This window comes from Homo sapiens, chromosome 1 (genome assembly GCF_000001405.40).
Source record: "Homo sapiens chromosome 1, GRCh38.p14 Primary Assembly".
Lineage (NCBI taxonomy): Eukaryota > Metazoa > Chordata > Mammalia > Primates > Hominidae > Homo > Homo sapiens.
This window is the reverse complement of record NC_000001.11, coordinates 177006095-177024732: the sequence shown is the minus strand read 5'-3', so window position 1 is coordinate 177024732 and position 18638 is coordinate 177006095. Positions and strand designations below refer to the sequence as shown.

General features: G+C 42.6%; 1 protein-coding gene across 7 annotated transcripts in view; it reads left to right on the top strand.

The window, feature by feature from the left end:
- ASTN1 (astrotactin 1) overlaps nucleotides 1-18638 on the top strand; it is a 307392-nt gene that overhangs the window by 139980 nt on the left and 148774 nt on the right. For 4 of the 7 annotated variants that reach the window (XR_921796.4, NM_001286164.2, NM_004319.3 and 1 more), the window contains exons 6-8: nucleotides 1-150; nucleotides 1162-1329; nucleotides 9858-9942. Coding sequence is in view for 5 of the 7 variants with exons in the window: in NM_001286164.2 (NP_001273093.1) it covers nucleotides 1-150; nucleotides 1162-1329; nucleotides 9858-9942 (403 nt within the window). In the remaining 2 variants the exon portion in view is untranslated. Of the gene's footprint in view, nucleotides 151-1161; nucleotides 1354-9857; nucleotides 9943-18638 lie in introns of all 7 variants that reach the window. The other 3 variants (XR_001737193.3, XM_017001341.3, NM_001364856.2) reach the window with 1 other exon arrangement.

Genomic DNA, 18638 nt, shown 5'->3' with positions numbered 1-18638 from the left:
TGGGTTCTCCCCGAAGTCCTGTGAATAAGACCACCTTGACCCTGATCAGCATCACCAGCTGTGTGATTGGCCTCGTGTGCTCCTCTCACGTCAACTGCCCTCTCGTTGTCAAGATCACCCTGCATGTCCCTGAGCACCTGATTGCTGATGGTGAGCCTGTTCTTCTGAGGATGCGACCTTGCCCCCCAAAAAGGAAAGTTTTCTGGTTGGGCAAAGGCTAGAGAAGACAGGAGTCACTGTTACCTATTACTCTACCGGGGGAAAACCAAACTGAAATAAGTAAGGATGAGGATACAATTGTATTGCCCATAGATGAACTTAGAACACAGGTTAAAAAATAAACTAAAGTGATCACCTCTTCTTCTCTATGCCATCTCCCATTTTTGTTTGTTTTTAATACGTCTCTGTCTTTGAGAGAAATGCACAGCCCACTGGCTAGAGGAAGGAAGGCACCAAGACTCCCTTAGCCTTTGAAAAGGAAAAAGCTAAGTGGAGTAGTAGAGGTGTTTAAGAATTAGCCATGCTTTGGTTTTGTATGCCTGGGTGAGAAATTCCTAATTGCAGTAACTTGCTGTAAGCCTAGAACTCAGAAGTAATAATTTACTTTCATCCAGGGGGACCCCAATATAATGAGGGAGTAATATAGGTTCTGAGAGTCCCTGAATCATTTAAGCCCAGAGCACCTAATTGACTTGTTAATGTCTGTTCTCTGAGTTGCTGTAAGGCTGGAAACAGGTGGGGACTGTTCACGCAGTGTTAGAGGGCCTGCAATTCTCATAGCACGTGAAGACAGGCAGCAGCCCCTGTTCTTTGGAGGAGTGCCAGTGCCTGTGGCTGGGTCTGATGGAGCCATGCCATGGCCATCACAGGGCTCCTCTGTCCCTGTGTTCCTTAGGAACTCCCTGGAAAGACGGAATGGAGCAAGGCAGCAGGGGACTCCATTGCTGGAGAGTTCAATGTCTGGCCTCACAGAGGTCCAAGTGATGGCCCAGCCTCTGTCTGCTGATCCCTTGCTCTGGGGCTAATGATGGGCTAGGAATGGTGAGAGTTAGGATCTCTGATTGGTACTAATTCTCAGGTTGGGATTTCCTTGTCTTCGGTGGCTTGTGGACGTGTGCTGTGTTGCACATATAGGCATGCTTCCTTTCTCTCACCCTGCAGGGAGCCGCTTCATCTTGCTGGAGGGGAGCCAGCTGGATGCCAGTGACTGGCTGAACCCTGCCCAAGTGGTTCTCTTCTCTCAGCAGAACTCCAGCGGACCCTGGGCCATGGACCTCTGTGCCCGGCGGCTCCTGGACCCCTGTGAACACCAATGTGACCCCGAAACTGGTAGGCGGGAGCACCGGGCAGCGGGTAACTGTCAGAGAGATCATGCCTCTTGCAATCACTCCCTTGAAATTCAGACCATGCCTCCCAACTCCCCGTCCCACTGCCATCTCGAGCCTAGACCATGCGGACTGCCTGCATGTGGTTGGGCCGCAGAGCTTATTGGCTAAAACTGTGGTCATTTTCTGGCAGAAGACTTGGAAGGATACTAACTGTAGTCCCAAGCCAGAAAACTCAGTTTTAGGATGACTTCCATAACCCATTTATCCCATAGTCAGGGGATATTTAAATACTGGGGCTAGACATTTTATGATGATAAAATTAATGCATGTTTATTGTAGAAAACTTTTTAAAAATTAGAAAAGTTTATAGAAGAAAATGATAATCATCAATATTTCTATCTCCTGGATAAGTCACTTTTAAAATTTTAATGTCCTCCCTTCCAGTCTCTTTACTATGCATGATTTTTAAGGGCTTCCTAGAAGCATACTAAGTCTAGTAGAGTTCTCCTGCTTTTTTCACTTAACATTCCATCATAACTTTTCCAGAATCATTAAATAATCCTCAAACACATAATTTTAATGGCCATTTGGTATTCCGTTGTATGTCTATATCATAGCTCATTTAAACAGTCCCCTATTATTTGACATTTAGGATGCTTTAAATTTTTATTTTTATAAATACTATTAAAATGAACATCTTTACACATAAATGCTGGACACATTTGAAGTTATTTTCTTCAGATAAATCTTAGTGAGAGAGTACTGGGTCAAAGAGTAGGAACGTCTTCAAGTCTGTTATACTATCAAATGGAGCTGGGGTTTCCCTGAGGGAGGGTTCAAATTCTAGTGTGGCATGAATTAGAGCTCTCCCATTGCTCCTTGGGTTCCAACAAAGCCAGGAGCATGGATCTCTTATTTCAGTTTGCTTTGCACTTTCACTGAAGAAGACATTCACCTACAGTAGTCTCTATGATGGCTTGTTTTTGGTAAATTGAGTACCACAAATAGATCCTTCCCAAAGTAGTATGATCCCTTAGAGCAAAGGAAAGCGTTAAAGTGATATCTAAGATTCCCAAGCTAAACGTTGCTGGAGTTGGGGCCCAAACCCTGAAGCTTTTTGTACAGCATGTGCAGCCACCCCCCGCCAACCCCCTCTACCCCAGCCCACCACACTCGCATCTTCTTCAGGTGCTGAGGTAGAGAGATCTTAATAGAGGATGAGTCTAAGATATCTAGCCCTTACTTCTGTTATAATCTATGACTAGATCCCTCTGGGAGAGTAGCAGGTAACTGAAACATCTAAAATTCACCATCTTAGGTGTTAAAGTTGTTTTATGTGGGCCCATCACAGAGATTCTAGGCCCCCATATGGAGGAGAAAGTACAACATTTTAAACATCTGAAGTCTAAGACTGTGCTTACTTGCTGCTCCTCCCACGCTGTCAGGCAAACACCAAACCAAACAGATGGGCTGTGTACCATGCCCAAAAGCTAGTATGCTTGGGAGAAATTAAAAAGAGCTAATCTCAGAGGTGGGGGCTCTCCATGCAACTGAGCTAGTCTCTGGTACCCTAGTTCTCCAGCTGGCTTGGATTGGAAGGATTTGGGACAATCTCAGTTGTTAAACTCACTTCTGAGAGAAGCTTGATCCCCGGGGGGAGCTTTGGATGCTCCTACTTGGATTTTAAAGAAAAGGAAGCACACCTTCAGTTACATGTGAAAAGAAGGGATTGGTGCTTTAGGCTTGGAGGGGTCTCAATGATAAACTGCCTCTATGCTTTACATTCACATTTGAATTCCTTAAGAAGTTACACGATTTGCCCAAAGTCCCACAGCTACCTAAAGCAGAGTCTGTGTTTTATTTATCATGAAATCTGCAAAGGTGGGATTATAAAGGTTGCTTAATTTCCCCAGACATGTCAGATCCAACATAGTTGTCATTCAAAACTATTTAAAAAACAACCATTACTAAGCATTACTGTTCCATGTGCCAGGAAGCTGCTTGTCTACAGCAAAGCTCTCCCATCAACTCTTCAGTCCCTTCCAGATGTCTCATTTCTAATCCCTGCTGAAAATGACTTTGGGAAGCCCCTCCCCTGCTAATAGCTTCTCAATGTCTGTGACCATGAATGAATTTCCTATTGGAAAGACACAGAGGAAGACTAAAAATAATCTCCCAAACCCCAAGACAAAACTAAGGTGCAGCATCTTCATTTTGGATAGCAGCTGAGAAACAATACTGCAAAGACTCTCATTTTCATGAATGCTGGAATTGGAAAGCATTGGTGATGTGGTCATCCCACATGCTCATCAGTAAGAAACTTTATCGCCTCCCACACTCTATCCCAGAGCCTTTCTCCAAAGAGCTGAGTGTGGGAATTGGCTTCAAGTCAAGTCGACGTTATTTTTGAAATCCTCTAGCTAGCTTACTTGGAAATGTCATAGTGTTGGGACATGTGCTTTCCCAGCCATACTGAGGGGTCTGCCCATATGGATGCATGGAGCTGTGCAGTGCACTTGTGTACTTTTACACACACACACACACAAACACACAAACACAGATGCTCAGTCACTGCAAAGGAGCAGCCTCCTGGTGCCAGAGCTCTCCTCAGGCATCCTTCCTAAGAGCATCCCCAAGTGAGTCTCTGTTTACCTGTCACCTGCACCATGCTTCAGAACACCAGGTGTGAGAGACACAATAATGCACTCCCAAAAATGTCCACATTCTCATCTCCAGGACCTGTGAATGTGTCACGTTACATGGCAAAGGAGAATTAGTGATGCATATGGAATGGAGGTTGCTAAACAACTGGCTTTAAAACAGGGAGATTTGGGGGGAAGATTATCTGAGTGGTCAAAATGTAATCACAAGCATTCTTAGAAGTGAAATAGGGAGGCAGAAAAGGAGGTCAGAGTGAGGTGATGTGAGGAGGACTCAAGCAGCCATTACAGACTTTGAATATGGAGGAAGGAGGCATGAGCCAAGGAATGTCAGCAGCCTCTAGAAGCTGGAAAAGGCAAGAACACAGAAAATAGATTCTCCCGGGTGCCTCCAGAAGGCAACATAGCTCTATAGACGCCTTGATTTTAGCCCAGTGAAACTCATGTTAAACTTCTGGTAAGATAATAAATGTATGTTGTTTTAAACCACTTTCTTTGTGGTATGCTTTTACTGTAGGAATAGAAAACTTATACACTAAGGAAGGAGAGAAAAGATAGGCCAGGCGTGGCAGCTCACACCTATAATCCCAGCACTTTGGGAGGCTAAGGGAGGCAGATTGCTTGAGCCCAGGAATTCAAGATCAGCCTGGACAACATGGCATAAACCCCATCTCTAATAAAAATACAAAAAATTAAACAGGCATGGTGGTGCAACACCTGTAGTTCTAGCTACTCAGGAGGCTGAGGCAAAAGGATTGCCTGAGTCTGGGAGGTCGAGGCTGCAGTGAGCCGAGATTGCACCATTGCACTCCAGCCACAGTGACAGAATGAGACCCTGTCTCAAATAAATAAATAAATAGAATAAAAAGACAATACAAAAATAGAAAGAAAAAGCATTGTTTTGCTCCCTCTTTATATCCTCCTTGTGCAATTTATAGACTTTTCAAAGATGTATCAGGAATCTATGGAAGAACTGGAGCTGGAGAATACTTGCTGATCTGTTTTTCATTCCAGCCTCCCTCTGTATTTCTATTCTAGCAACATGCTACCTGGGAGGGATGTAATATACCTAGAGCACTCAGCCCAATGCATGGGATATACTCAGCACTAGCAACTGTTCTTAAGATCATCAAGTGCCCAAAGGCTTTCCAATTTGAACTTGGATGCACTTGAGAAATGGTAGGCTGGTACCCCAAGGTATGCCTGCCATTCCCAATCTTCTGCTGAGCACTGTGACCTCTTCTAACAGTTCTCATTCTATAACAATTTATGTTTTTATCATTTGGCTGTCTGGTAATTCAGCATGCATGTAAATTAGGTTCATTGCATTGACAATTTCAGAAAGCCTACTGTGTGCCCTTCCAGGTCAGGGGAGACCAGTGGGAAATACCTAGGAAAAAAATGGTTTTCGGTAAAAATAAGGATAGGTGATGTTTGAGAGCTCACTGTGTGTCAAGCATTGTGCTTTACTTAGATTACGTAATTGGAGCTTCACTGTAACACTATGAAGTAGATGGTACTCTTATTCCCATTTTACAGAGTTGTTGACTTATCTGCCCAAGATCACTTACCTAGTTAATGACCTAGCTGGACTTCAAACTCAGGCTGCCTGACTCAGAACTCACACTCCTGACCATTATTCAAACCTGTCCCCACTGCTCAAGCTGCAGGAAAGGAACTAAGACAGAAGGCTTAGAATTGTTTCACTTCTATGTGGCTGCAGCAGAGCCCCAGCCCCCTGATGCTTTGCTGTTAGCCCCCTTTGCCAACTGCACCCTGACATTCTCTCCCATATGTCCCCAGGTTTGTAACCCCAGGTGTGCCTCTGGTTAAGTGGGGCTAACAGCAAAACACTAGGGCTGCATGGCTTAATGCTCCCTGGATCCAGCCAGAGGTTGACTTTCCCTGCGCTTTGCAAGGGTTTTTTTGTTATGGTTGTATGTTTGTTTGATTGTTTTGGTTTTGTGTTTTTGATGGAGACACAGACTACCTGGTTTCAGTGACCTTTCTCTTTCCTCTCTCCCTGGCCTTCATTCTGCCATATGGACAGCTGTTGGCTTCACACACCTGCTTTATTTCACAGCCCCCATCAATCCTGGCCACAGACCCCTCATTGCCCTTTTCAAGATATGTAGCTTTTATGGTTCTGCAAGGAGCATAGGCTTCCCAGCTAAATTAAGTTTTAATCTTTATCCAAGACGTTCACTGAAATCTCTTCTGTCCCAGGTCTTTCCATAGGCCAGACCCAACCATGTGGAAATGTGTAAACCTGTTGAGGGGCATTCGACCCACTTCCCAGACTCAAACCAGCTGCCCTCTTCTTTGCTTGCTCTGAACCGCTGTCTCTCTCTCTAACCTTCCCTGTTTTTGTTTGTTTGTTGGTTGGTTGGTTGGCTGATTGGTTGGTTTGGATTTTTACCTAATTTGGCAGGGTAGCTCAGTCCCGATTTTGTTCCTGATACCTGGATTGCTAACACATGCTACACTCCGTTCTGTAACTCCATTAAAGCACCTTCCTTTAGGATGTTCTTTTGGCACACTTCCCTCTGACTCCCTTCCCAGAGTTGCTTGGGGCTATTTGACCCTGGACTTGCCTCCTTTCGATGTCTCTGCTGGGAAGGGAGATCAAACAATTAGATAATACCCAAGTCAGATATCTTACAAAGATTTCCCTTTTTAGAAGGAGCACACCCAATTTTATTTCATAAAAGCCAACCCCTTCCTGAAGCATAGAAGCGGTTGAGGGCATTTGGCCTTAATCTGCATTTTCCTCATGGAGAACTTATGGTGAGCCCAGCCATGTCTGAGGACCCCTAGCTTCAAGGTTTTTCTTTAATCTTTGAATGAGATTTATGCCTCAGTCCTTCAGCTGTAGAATGGGAAGTGACCAAAAGCACTGTCCATCATCCAAGGTACCTCGAGGCGTCTACTGTCAGGGTACCAAGCACAGATCAAGTGCAGCTGTCTCCAGACCCTGCACCAACTACCTTTCAGGGCCTTTTCTTTTTCACAGTGTGGTTGCATGAGTGCTCCTGCAGGGCACACTCTGTCTGGCTGGGCTCTCCTCCGTACCATGACACGTCTCTCCGTTGGAGTCCTATGTACACCACCATGGAGTCGGCGCCTCATGCGTTCCCACCATCTGTCACAGCAGATGCAGAGACTGTAACACTTCTAGCTTAGGAGGGCATCCAACACCCTTGTGGGGTCTTTAAAATTCACAGCTAACAGTCGGAGCCTGTGCTTTCACGAAACCCCTCTTAAAGTCAAGATTTAGCAGTTGGTTGCCATAGCAACTTCCCCCATCAAGTCTGAAATCCTTTCGTTGGAGATGGCCAAACTGGTTTTGTGGAGGAATACAGACGAGGAATGCTTGGTGGGTTCCAGAAATAAGGATCCTGTGAGAGGCAAATTTTGGAGATCCCCAAAACCTAGCATGATGTGTTTGAAAATTTCTCTGTTTCTTGGACTTTGGGCTGCATCTGCCATTATGTGGAGGAAAGCTTTATTGGTTGTCGGCAGTATGTCCCCACATTGTAATGAGTGACGGAAGCCTCATAAGGAGATAATGACTACGAAGGCAATTTCAGAAGGTAAATGTGCTATACAAATGGTAGGTATTGCTGTCATTAGGAAAATAAGGCTCGGCTTGAACTTTGAGTTGTTACTGCATTTATTTTTATATGTTTTGTGGTAACTAGATATCAAATGTGAAAGAGAACTCCCATTTTTGTCAATCCCTAATTCTAGGCAAGGCGTCTAGCCGAGACCATTCTAAGAGTCAGAGTGATGGCTTTGACAAACTCCTAAGGTTACTTCCTGCTTCTAAATATGCCCATGGCTAATTGTCCACAGAAGGACAACCAGGAGAGTGTCTTTCCCGAAAGGAAAAGTATATTTGAGACCTTGACCTATTAACTGGCTTACATATCTGCATCTTGGGGGTGAGGTGTAAATATCTGTAAATATAGGGCAAATCCTTTAATTAATTTATTTTCTACTGCACAGTATTTGTCAAAGACCTACTCATATGGGGGAAGACTAACCTCGTTCCTTGTTTCTGCCCTATGTATCTTATAGTCTAGCATCCGTGCTTTCTTTGGAATTGAGAAGGTGTGAAGCCTTCTCAATGAAGCCAGGCTCCTGGTACTCTCTTCTTTTGCCCTCCCCAGTAGTTGCCTTCTTTATCTTTCCTTTTCTCAAATAAACAGCCTTCATCCACAAACCTTATCGTCAACCATCTAATTTAAAGCTGTGTTTTTCTATTTTTGGCTCAGAGCTCCCTGACCATTTCTAGATATAGCTCAGTACCACTGAAGCCAATAAACTTGAACCTACTGTGGATCCAGCCCATGTAGAAGCCAGAATTCACCATGCAGGAGACAATGTCCTGATCAAATACTCCCTGTGGGCTTTTTTTTTTTTTTTTTTACAAATGAAGAGGTTTTCACTCTACTTCTCAGAACATTGAGCTGAACTGCTGTGGGGGACAAAAATGGTGTGATCTGGTAGTGAGGCTCTGATGGACAGCCGCTTGTAGGTCAATCTTGAAATGAATGGCTAAGCTAAGATGCTAAAAAAAGCTCTTGCTCAGGCCCTATCCAATACCTTCCCCCTTAACTGTGAGGCCCCTTCACTTCGTTTTTACTGGATTTTATCTTCAGAAAAGAGAAAATAGCACTCAAAGCTATTATTCTATTTATATCATCTTAAAGTGTTTCTTTCTGGGGAGATAAAGAAATGGTATGCCCATCATTTCACTAGGGCATGGCACCTTTGTTATTTACAAATTTTGGAAAGTCACACTTTGTTCTTTCACAAGGTATAAATTAAGCAGACATTTAAATAGTAGGAACTAGTGTTGTAGTGTAACTGGCCTCAGTAGTTTGGGCTACATCTCATTGCATAAAGAATTATTAACATAATGAAGCAGCAAAAATTTTCTTCAAAATCGGTAGTAAATAGAGCAATGATTCTTAATCTTTTGGGGATCTTGGATTTACTTGTAAATAAGATGAATGTTATGGGACCCTGCCTCAAAAAAAATGCATATACACACATATACAGTTTTGCATGAAATTCCAGAAGATTCATGGGTCCCTTGGTATACTAATGGAATAACAAATTATAATGAAATGTAGTGATATCCTAAATAAATGTGGAATTGTAGATGATTCTTCTGGTGACCCACTCCCAGATAATTAATCATTTTTACTTAAAAGCTAAAACCCAGAGTTCCTTTAAAACCATAATAGATGTAAGAGGCCTCCTGTGCATATAGTAGTTGTTCTATGAGCTAGCAGCCTGGCATGGTGGGAGAAAAAGGTCTGGAGTCAGACAGACATAGGCTCAAACATTAACTCTGTCACTTACAAGCTGTCTACAAGCCTTCAATTTTCTCAAGGCTGTTTTTCCCATTAGCATAACATAGCCAATAATACCTACTTTCCAAGATTCCTAGAAATATTTGGTGAAATAATTCACTTATGCAGTCTTTAAACATTATTATTCATCTACTGTGTGCCTTGTAGTATACTGGGCATTGAGAAAATAAAGATGAAAAAGTCCTTTTCCTCAAAGAATTGTTGGTCTTTGTGCTTACAGAACATATATAATAGATGCTTTCTAAATACTAGATTCCTCTTCTATGAAAAGTATCACACACTGGAGAAGGGAGAGATTGGTTGGAGTATTCATTTATGTGAGTGGTGGAGAGGGGAGTATATGACATAATGGAACTTACTGTCTCATTCATGCTAATATCAGAGTAAGAGTTTACCCTGACTATTTCATGTTAATTTTTACAAACACAGACATGTTAATCAATTCCTTCATGTTTCTCTTTCTTCCTCCTTACCCTGCTTCTAAGGGGAATGCCTCTGCTATGAAGGCTACATGAAGGATCCAGTACATAAGCACCTTTGCATTCGGAACGAATGGGGGACAAACCAGGGGTAAGTGAGGGCATGACGACTTAGCTGGTTCCCACATATCACTGCTCCTTACACAGACATGACGTGGAGCAACTGCATGGAGAGGAATAGAGCTAAAGGGTGGCTATATTCTGAACAGCAAATGGGTAAAAATGTCACTATGCCTTTCCATATTTATACCATTCCAGTGACGTCTATATCATCTTTTTCTCCATTTACGAGCCTCTGACTCGCAGCCCTGCAGCTTCCAGCTGGGATCTGAAAATCAAGCTGTCCCTCTCTTCCTTTTCACACCACCACCAGCCATGAGGATTCCACAGGCAGAATTTAGCTGATGATTTTGTTGGAGACACATGAAGCCACAGAGACTCCAATGTAGCTCTCCCAGAGCCTGATGAGCTTTGCAAGACTGACATGAGTGGAAATTTGTTTTCACCAGGACTGTCAGCAGGGGTGACATACAGAGACTCAGGAAGTACTCTGTATTGAATAAGAGAGTATTTTTGCTTGATCCCCAATTACCATTTCCCAATGAGACTTTTGTTTTCCCCTAGACACACACGAGTGGGACAAAGTAGTTATCTCATGTATTCCTTTTTTGTTTTTATTTTTTACATTTTGGAATGTTTTATTGGGATAAAAAATATATAACATACAATGTGTCATTTAACCATTTTTAAGTATACAATTCAGTGGCATTAAGTAAATTCACATTATGCAAGCATCCCACTATTCACTTTCTATTGCCTTTTTTTTTTTTTTAATTGAGACATTGTCTTGCTTTGTTGCCCAGGCTGGAGTGTAGTGGCATGATCATAGCTCACAGTAACATCCAACTCCTGGCCTCAAGCCATCCTCCCACCTCAGCCTCCCAAAGTGCTGGGTTTACTGGCATGAGCCACTGTGCCCTGCCCTCTATTACTTTTTAAAAGCAACTTTTTAGTTTCCTTTAGATGTTGAGAGTTAACTTTCTGCATTGGCTGGGTCCTGAAGGAGGGTGGGAGGAGAAGGGGATCAATAAATGCGAACTAATAATAGCAATCAATGGAACAGGAAAAACTAGAAAGAAATCAAGGCAAAAGCCATCTCAGAATGGTTGCTTGGATTGCAAATTAGATATGTGTTTGCAGCTTGACAGGTGGAAAAAAGAAACCAATGTCATTTCAGACATCGCCATGGAGGACTCACATCCCTGAGGTCAATGATCTGCCCCTTCCGTGTGATTCTGATGAGACCAAACCTAGAATACTGAATGTAGTTCTGGACTCTCAAAGCAATAAATATGGTGACAAATGGGTGAGCGTTTGGAGAAGAGCAATAAAAATGATTGAAGAGCCCAAGGGAGTGATTTATGATAAAGGGATAGAAGAACTCAACTCTGAGAACTTAGCCAGCTGATGACTAAGTCAAGGCATGATAGATGCCCATAGATGTTAGGAGAGGGCAAATGTTCTGGAACAGGTTGAAGTTGGGGGATAAGGACAAGAGAAAATGCAGTTGGGGAAAGGAAATCTGAGTCACAGGTCAGAAAACTTGGGGAAGTCAAAACGCCATGAAATTTTTCTGTTCGTGAAAATGAAGGATTGCTCAGTTTTGGCAGAATTTGAGATCATATCACAGAGAGAGCCCACAAATTTTAGAGGAAGGTGTTTGTAGAAGGGCAGCTACATATGAGGCAGCCTGTTATTGAAAGATTGGGGAGAAGGGCAGAAGGTTTGGCTGATAGATGTGCAGTGGGATATGAATGAGTAATACCACTGGCTATTTACATTCTATGGAGTCCCCTTACCATCTTTGCCTCTGAAATGTTTGCATAGTTTCTGGGGATCCAAAATTTTAGCTAATGGGATGGCTAAGAATTGCGGTGGACTGTGGTTCTTACTGATTAAAATAGTGTAAAAAAGTGATGGATAACCAATCTCTGTCTCTTAGCTGCTGACTTGCTGCTGGAGAAAACAATGACAAAATATTTCACTTCTGCCCTGAGTGATCCAGGCTGGCTCGCTGTAGTGACTGGATTTGGTGGTTAATCACTCAAGCCTCCACATCTCTAGCCTTGTAGACAGATCATGTGAGGATGGGCCTGACTTCACTTGATAATTGCATAAGCCTTCATCATTCCCTCTGGCTGTATGTAGAGACAGTCTTAGGATGTAGACAAGAGTCTCAGGGGAAATGTTTGAGGTCCCAGCATAAGTGTCATTTAAAACAAGACAGGCTAAAGCAGTGAGTTATAGACTGACAGAAACATTAGCCCCAGGAAATAGACAAGAAGACCTAATCTGTCATTTCCATCTTTAATTTCCATTATTCTATGATCATCACTGTCTATGAGGTCTCATTTTGGACACTAATAAAATAATGGAGCAACTGTTAGGAGGAGGAAAAAAGTGAGTACCTTGAGGATAATGGAACCAGGAGTGATAAGCAGTGTGAGTTTATATGTACTCAGTATTAAAAAAGCGCCAGACAAATGACTGTATTTTTCCTCATAAAATGACAAGGTAAGTGAAAAGTATAAGATGCCATACATCTTGATTTAAATCAGGGATCCGATGCCATGTTTCTTTAAATGATTCTCACAAAATTAATCGAAATTTGTTTGAACATGAAGACTGTCACTCGAATTGAAAACTGTCTGACAGATTGCCAACTAATGATACATATTGGGGTATTATGGAAAAATCAATGGTATGTCTGATTTTCCTGAATATTTTATTTAATTCTCCTGAAGTGGAGGTAAGCAGCCCATGTGTGAATGGTTTTCACTTCATATTCTTGTATTGCGTACATTAAAATAGCTGAACATTCCTTTGAAGTAGAACAACCAAATCCTAGGCCAAATAGTTAAAACAAATTCTTTAGTGAAGTATCAAGGTCAATGTACCAGGAGAAAAGTAGCAATAAGCCTTTATGACTTTCAGACAAGGAAGAAAATTGATCAAGGACACTAATATAAGAAGTTACAAATTGATTTTTTTTTTGAGGTGGAGGAGTGGCACCTGCAACTTTACCCAGCCTCTGCCTCCTTCTAGTTTCCTGGTCCTGAATGTGCATGTGTGTGTGTTTGTGTGTGTGCACGCATGTGTGTGCATGTGTGTATGCATGTGTGTGGTGTATGTGTGTGTGTGCATGCATGTGTGTGTGTGGTGTGTGTGTGTGTGTGAGTGGTGCCTGTGCATTATGTGTGCACATGTGGTATATGTGTGATTGTATGGTATGTGTGTGTTTGTGTGTGTGTGTGTGTGTATGTGCATGACAGGAAGCCAGTTTGTTTATAGTAATTCTCTCACCACTCCATCATTTATTCTCCTACTCATTTGTGTTTTCAACAGATATTCACCCCATTACCTATTATGGTCCAGGGTATGCTAGGTTGTTATTTATAGAAGAAGATGGGTTCCTGCTCTGGAAGAACTAACAGTCTACGTAGACAGTTGAAAGAGTAACAAGTAATTGCAATGAAATCTAATACTTACTAAAATAAAGATGTGAGCGAAAGTCTGTGGGATTGAAATTTAAGGGGTGACTTATGTGAGGTCAAAAATATGGAATAGGGTTTCATGGAGAATTTGGATTGTGAACTGTTCTACTTGCCAGATAACAAAGATCATTCTAAGCAAAGGGAACTAGCATGCAGAAAGGTACGGAGACATGAGAAACATGGTTTTTTCAGGAATGGTAAATAAAAAGCTCAATGTAGCATAAGAATTCACTTTACAGAGAGAGGATAAGAGGCTGGTAAGGTGGCAAAAGACTAGATAGCAAAGAGGTCTTGTTTACTGAGGCTGTGGACATTAAAGCTCCCATACTAGACCCGCTAGCAGGAGGGAGGGAGACGTTCCAGGTGTACTCTCACTACACTTTACTTTTTTGGGACCTTTCATATTAAATTTAAATGATCCTAAAAAGCAAAGAAACAAACACGAAACCTCTTGGGGTTAGCTAGACTTTTATTTATCTGGATTATCTCAGTAAAACATATTCCTAAAATTGTCTTGTAGATAAAAGTCAAGACCAAACAGCCAAGAATGGCAGAGAATTGGAGACCATATGCAGAAAGCATGTGAATCGAGGAGGTTGCAATCATTTCCTGGTGACTCCAGTTCTGCCACAATTGCTCAGGCAGAAATGAGGCAGGTTGAAACATTTGTGTGTTGGTCTTAGTGGTGAAGCTAGTCACTTCAGCTCAGCCAGGTGACAGGGTCCAGATGGCAAATTACAAGATCATTGAATTCAGTGCACAAGAAGGTCCTATTCACTAAGAGTAAAAATAGCTTCAGAAAGATTTAAACAAAGTCACAGATGACAGATTTCTAATGGGTTATTAAAAGAACATGGAATGTTTGAGGTTACAGCCTTGGTCTTTGAGGTTGGCAACAAAATCAATCATTCCCTGCCACAACATCCCTTGTGACCCTGCTGCCAGGCACAGGACCCAGGGTGGACAGGTCTTAGCCCTGCACAGTGGCTTACCTTGTCTTCTGTCTCCCCTGTATGAATTCACTGAATAACTCCTTGGCCTGCTATCCCTGTGGCTGCATAGACACAGACTATTAAACACAGACTATTAAAGTCTGTGTTTGATATTTGTTTGCTAGGACAACAAGGACAAATTGGAAATTTTCACAGAAGAGAATTGAAAACAATAAACAAGGGTGGAGGAGGCAAGAGAGATTGATTTACATGAAAATATTAGAGGAGGAAAAACAGATTTATGTAGCTACTTTGGAAATGATTACGAAAGACTACAATCATGTTTTTTTGTTAAATTAAAAGTACACCCAAGGGCCTCTAGATACAATTTTCAGAAGATTACAATTAGGTTAAATTCATGCATGTGAGGATTCCCAGTAAATAATAGCCTGATTTCTTATTCTGGCATCTCAGATACAGAGGGCAACACCAAGGAGATTCCCCACTAGAGAGATATAAAATATCACTAGATTTCAATGCTGAAGGATGGAGACAGAGCGATCATTCATGAGATGGGAAGTGACCTGCTGTGGAAAATGAACAGGTGTTTCTCCAAGGTGTTAGAAGCTGTTGTCAGGAATGGTCCTGCCCATCAGAGTACTTCTTCCTTACACTGCCTGCTCTGGAGGCAATGCACTTACCATGACATGCCAAGTAGGTGCACACAGGCACACACACATTCACTTACTCATACATGGCCCATGCTGCCTTAATATGTCATTCTCATTGTCCCAGGTGCATACTGTCTTCCCTTCTATTTCTGCAACTTCTTCCTACTTCTCACCCGCTCAGGAGTGACTGCTTAGGGAATCTATATCTTTATAAGGAGCAAATGTCCCAAACCATAGGAGCCAGTTCCCACTTGAAGCCAAGAATGAGGACTGTGTTCATCATGACTGGCCTCAGCTCCTCTGTCTTGCTCAAAACATGTCCTTGACAGGAGGTGTTTTTATTTTGTCCTGCCTGAAGGATGTCATTCTTAACAGTTCCTTAGAGACCACTAAAAAGACAAAGACCACATCTGGTGGAGAGGATACCTTTGCCTCTGAGTTCTAGGATGAGGTGAGACCAGCCTTCACTAATTATTCAAAAAGATCCAAAATCAATCCTGACTTCTCCTGTCCACCTAAAACTGAGCAAGAACCTCCTCTCAGCTGTCATCAAAGTGTAAATGCTTAGACCATCTTAGGGCAGTGACTGGCATGTTGAGCTGTAGCTGTGATTCCAAGCCCAGGTCTTAGGCCATGTCTTGTTTCTTTGACCAGCCCAAAGTCTTTTCTGAGGTGACTCAGGTGGGGTCAGACAGTCTGCTGTGACATAGGAAATTTCTGACTCTTTGCCTATTTCTAGCTCATCATCTGGCTGTTACTTCTCCCATCCCTTTGCTGGTTTCCATGTCACTGCTGTCCCGTTCACCTTCATCCGACCTCTCAAACAAGATTTGCTGGCCAGACTATGGCTGTTTCTTTATCTCTGGGTGCCCTCGTTTCCTGCCCTCCAGCCCAGACTTCATTGTCTGTGCCCAGCTTCTGTCATTGCTTTGCCATCCACAAATGGGATTATCTTCCCATTAGCTCTCTTTTAATTCTTCTTCCTCTCTCTCTCTTTCTCTCTCATCATTATCACTTATTGCTAATAAGGGTTTCCAGCATATTCATTCAGCAGTTTATTTTATTCATCCTCCTTCTCCTCTTCCTCCTCCTCCTTCTTCTTCTCTTCCTCCTCCTTCTTCTTCTCTTCCTCCTCCTTCTTCTTTCTCTCTCTTCCTCCCTCTCTTGCTCTTCCTCTCCCTCTCTCTCTTCCTCTCCCTCTTCCTATCTCCCGCTCTCTCTTCCTGTCTCCCTCTCTCTCTTCCTCTCCCTCTCTCTCTCTCTTCCTCTCCCTCTCCCTCTTCCTCTCTGTCTTCCTCTCCACCCCCCCTTCCTCTCCTCTCTCTCTTCCTCTCTTTCTCTCTCTCTTACTTTTATCTTCTCCTCTTCCCCTAGGAGTCAATGAAAATGCCACTACCTTTTCTCTTACGTTTTTCTGTGTCCAACAGACCAAAGGGGCTCTTGGAATTAAACCTAAAGTTCTGTTTCTTCTCTCTAGAGGTGCCCTGCTGAAACCTGATTCTAGCAGAAACATTGTCCCTTAAAAGGAAAAAAACAAAAAAACCCTTCCTTGGGTGAGCAGGCAGGAACTGAGTGCTTGAAAGTAAATCTCCATCTACCAGGATTTCCTCCACAGACAGACTTAACAGAATCGTCCCCTCCAGTTGGCTTGGGAAACTCTGCACCTCCTTCTCAGGGATTTTCTCAAGCGAAAACATGTAACTTGACCGATTTTTCACAAAACCCTTGTGGTCAGTCAGCTGAATACAGTGATACACTGTTCTTTGTAGAGGACATCAGGCTAAGAGGACATCTCTCCAGCAATGGAAGGCTAAAACCCAACCCATGCTTGCTAAGACAAGCCAACTCTGAGAGAAGGGGCACATCTGTCCAGATGGGTACTTTTTTCTAATTTGCACAAAGGCCTTTGATGAACTAGTGCTGAACTGTGGTCATTTTGAATGATGCCCTTTGCTCCCCTCTCAGAGGCAATTGTAACCTTGGTTACTCAGGATGATAAAAGAACAAAATGTGCCCTAATGAGTGACTCGTGCATGCCGGTTCATAGAGCAGCTACCTAAGTATCTTCTGATTTCAGACGTCTACCCCCAGAGATTTAAATTTCACAAGTCTGGGAGAGGGCCCAGAATCTGTACATTTGACAAGCTCCCACAGATGTTTCTGAAGCACAGCCAGACTTAAGAACACTTCTTAAGCAAGACATGGAGTCTCCAGACGCCTCGAGAAGGCATCCTTTTATCAGTTAACTTTTTCCAATGAAAATAAGAATGAGCTTGTAGACAAGTGGCTGAGTGCAGCTTTAAAGATCCTTGCATTTTATTAATTTTTTTTTTGAGACGGCATTTCACTCTTGTTGCCCAGGCTGGAGTGCAATGGTGCTATCTTGGCTCACGCAACCTTCACCTCCCAGGTTCAAGGGATTCTCCTGCCTCAGCCTCCTGAGTAGCTGAGATTAAGGCATGTGCCATCACGCCCGGCTCATTTTGTATTTTTAGTAGAGACAGGGTTTCTCCATGTTGGTCAGGCTGGTCTTAAACTCCTGACCTCAGGTGATCCACCCGCCTCAGCCTCCCAAAGTGGCTGAGATTACAAGCGTGAACCACCGCACCTGGCACCTTTTATTAATTGGGAAAGGGAGAGCCAGAGAGGTAAAGTAACTTGCCCAAGGTCACATAGCTGGTAGTCAAGCTTCATAGTAACCGCTGGGTGTTGGAGACAAGTCAGTTGGTTAAATAAAGATTTAAAAGAGAGAGCAATGTGAAGAGCATATAATACTCTGAAAGTCAGGGATCAGCTGTAGATGGGAGATGGACAGTCTATGTTTGACAGCCTGCTTCTCTGCATCCCGCTTTCCCAAGACTGAGGGATACATCTTCATCCCACCTCCTCCCCGTGGTGATGAGAGTCCACCTACAGTGCTGTCTACCCCCAGAGGAGGGGGGAGGCTCTGTCAGCTGTTGTCTCTGACTAGTCCAGTCACGGCACCAAGAGACTTATTTTAAACAGTGCCAGAGGCGGGAACACTCATATTTCCTCCAACAAGTCCAACAGGGTGAAAAAAAATCAACCTCAATTTACCCTCTCATCTGCTCAAGAATGGAAGATAAATTGTTTCAATTTTATAGAAATGAATGTTTTATGTCTTGCCTATGCTTTCCAGATAGTGTCCTGCATTTGTATATTCTACTGCATGCATGGGCATTCCACTAGGAATGCTCCCTAGACTTTCATCTTGGGTTTCAGTCTAAAAATACTAGGTTTCAGAGTGCTATTATTTTTCCTGGCTTTGGAGTTTTTGGCTATTTATCTTTTTTTTTTTTAATCAATAGAAAAAAATACATTCATTATCCCATGTGTAGAGAAAACTGCCATTACGATTTTGGCATGTTTCTTCCCAATTTCTGTTTCTATACATGAAATGCTTGCTTTTTACTAACCCCCACCTCAATTCTGTATATATTTTTGTTCTCTCTCATAATCACAAAATAGGGTAACGTATAAAGAAGCATTAAAAGTATGTTTGTGATACATTATTTTTCTCAAAACTTTTTCCTTGAGGGTGTTATTCTTAATGCCAAAGTTAAAACCTTCAATTTTAAGCTATTTTTAGAGGAAAGAAGACAGCAGCCC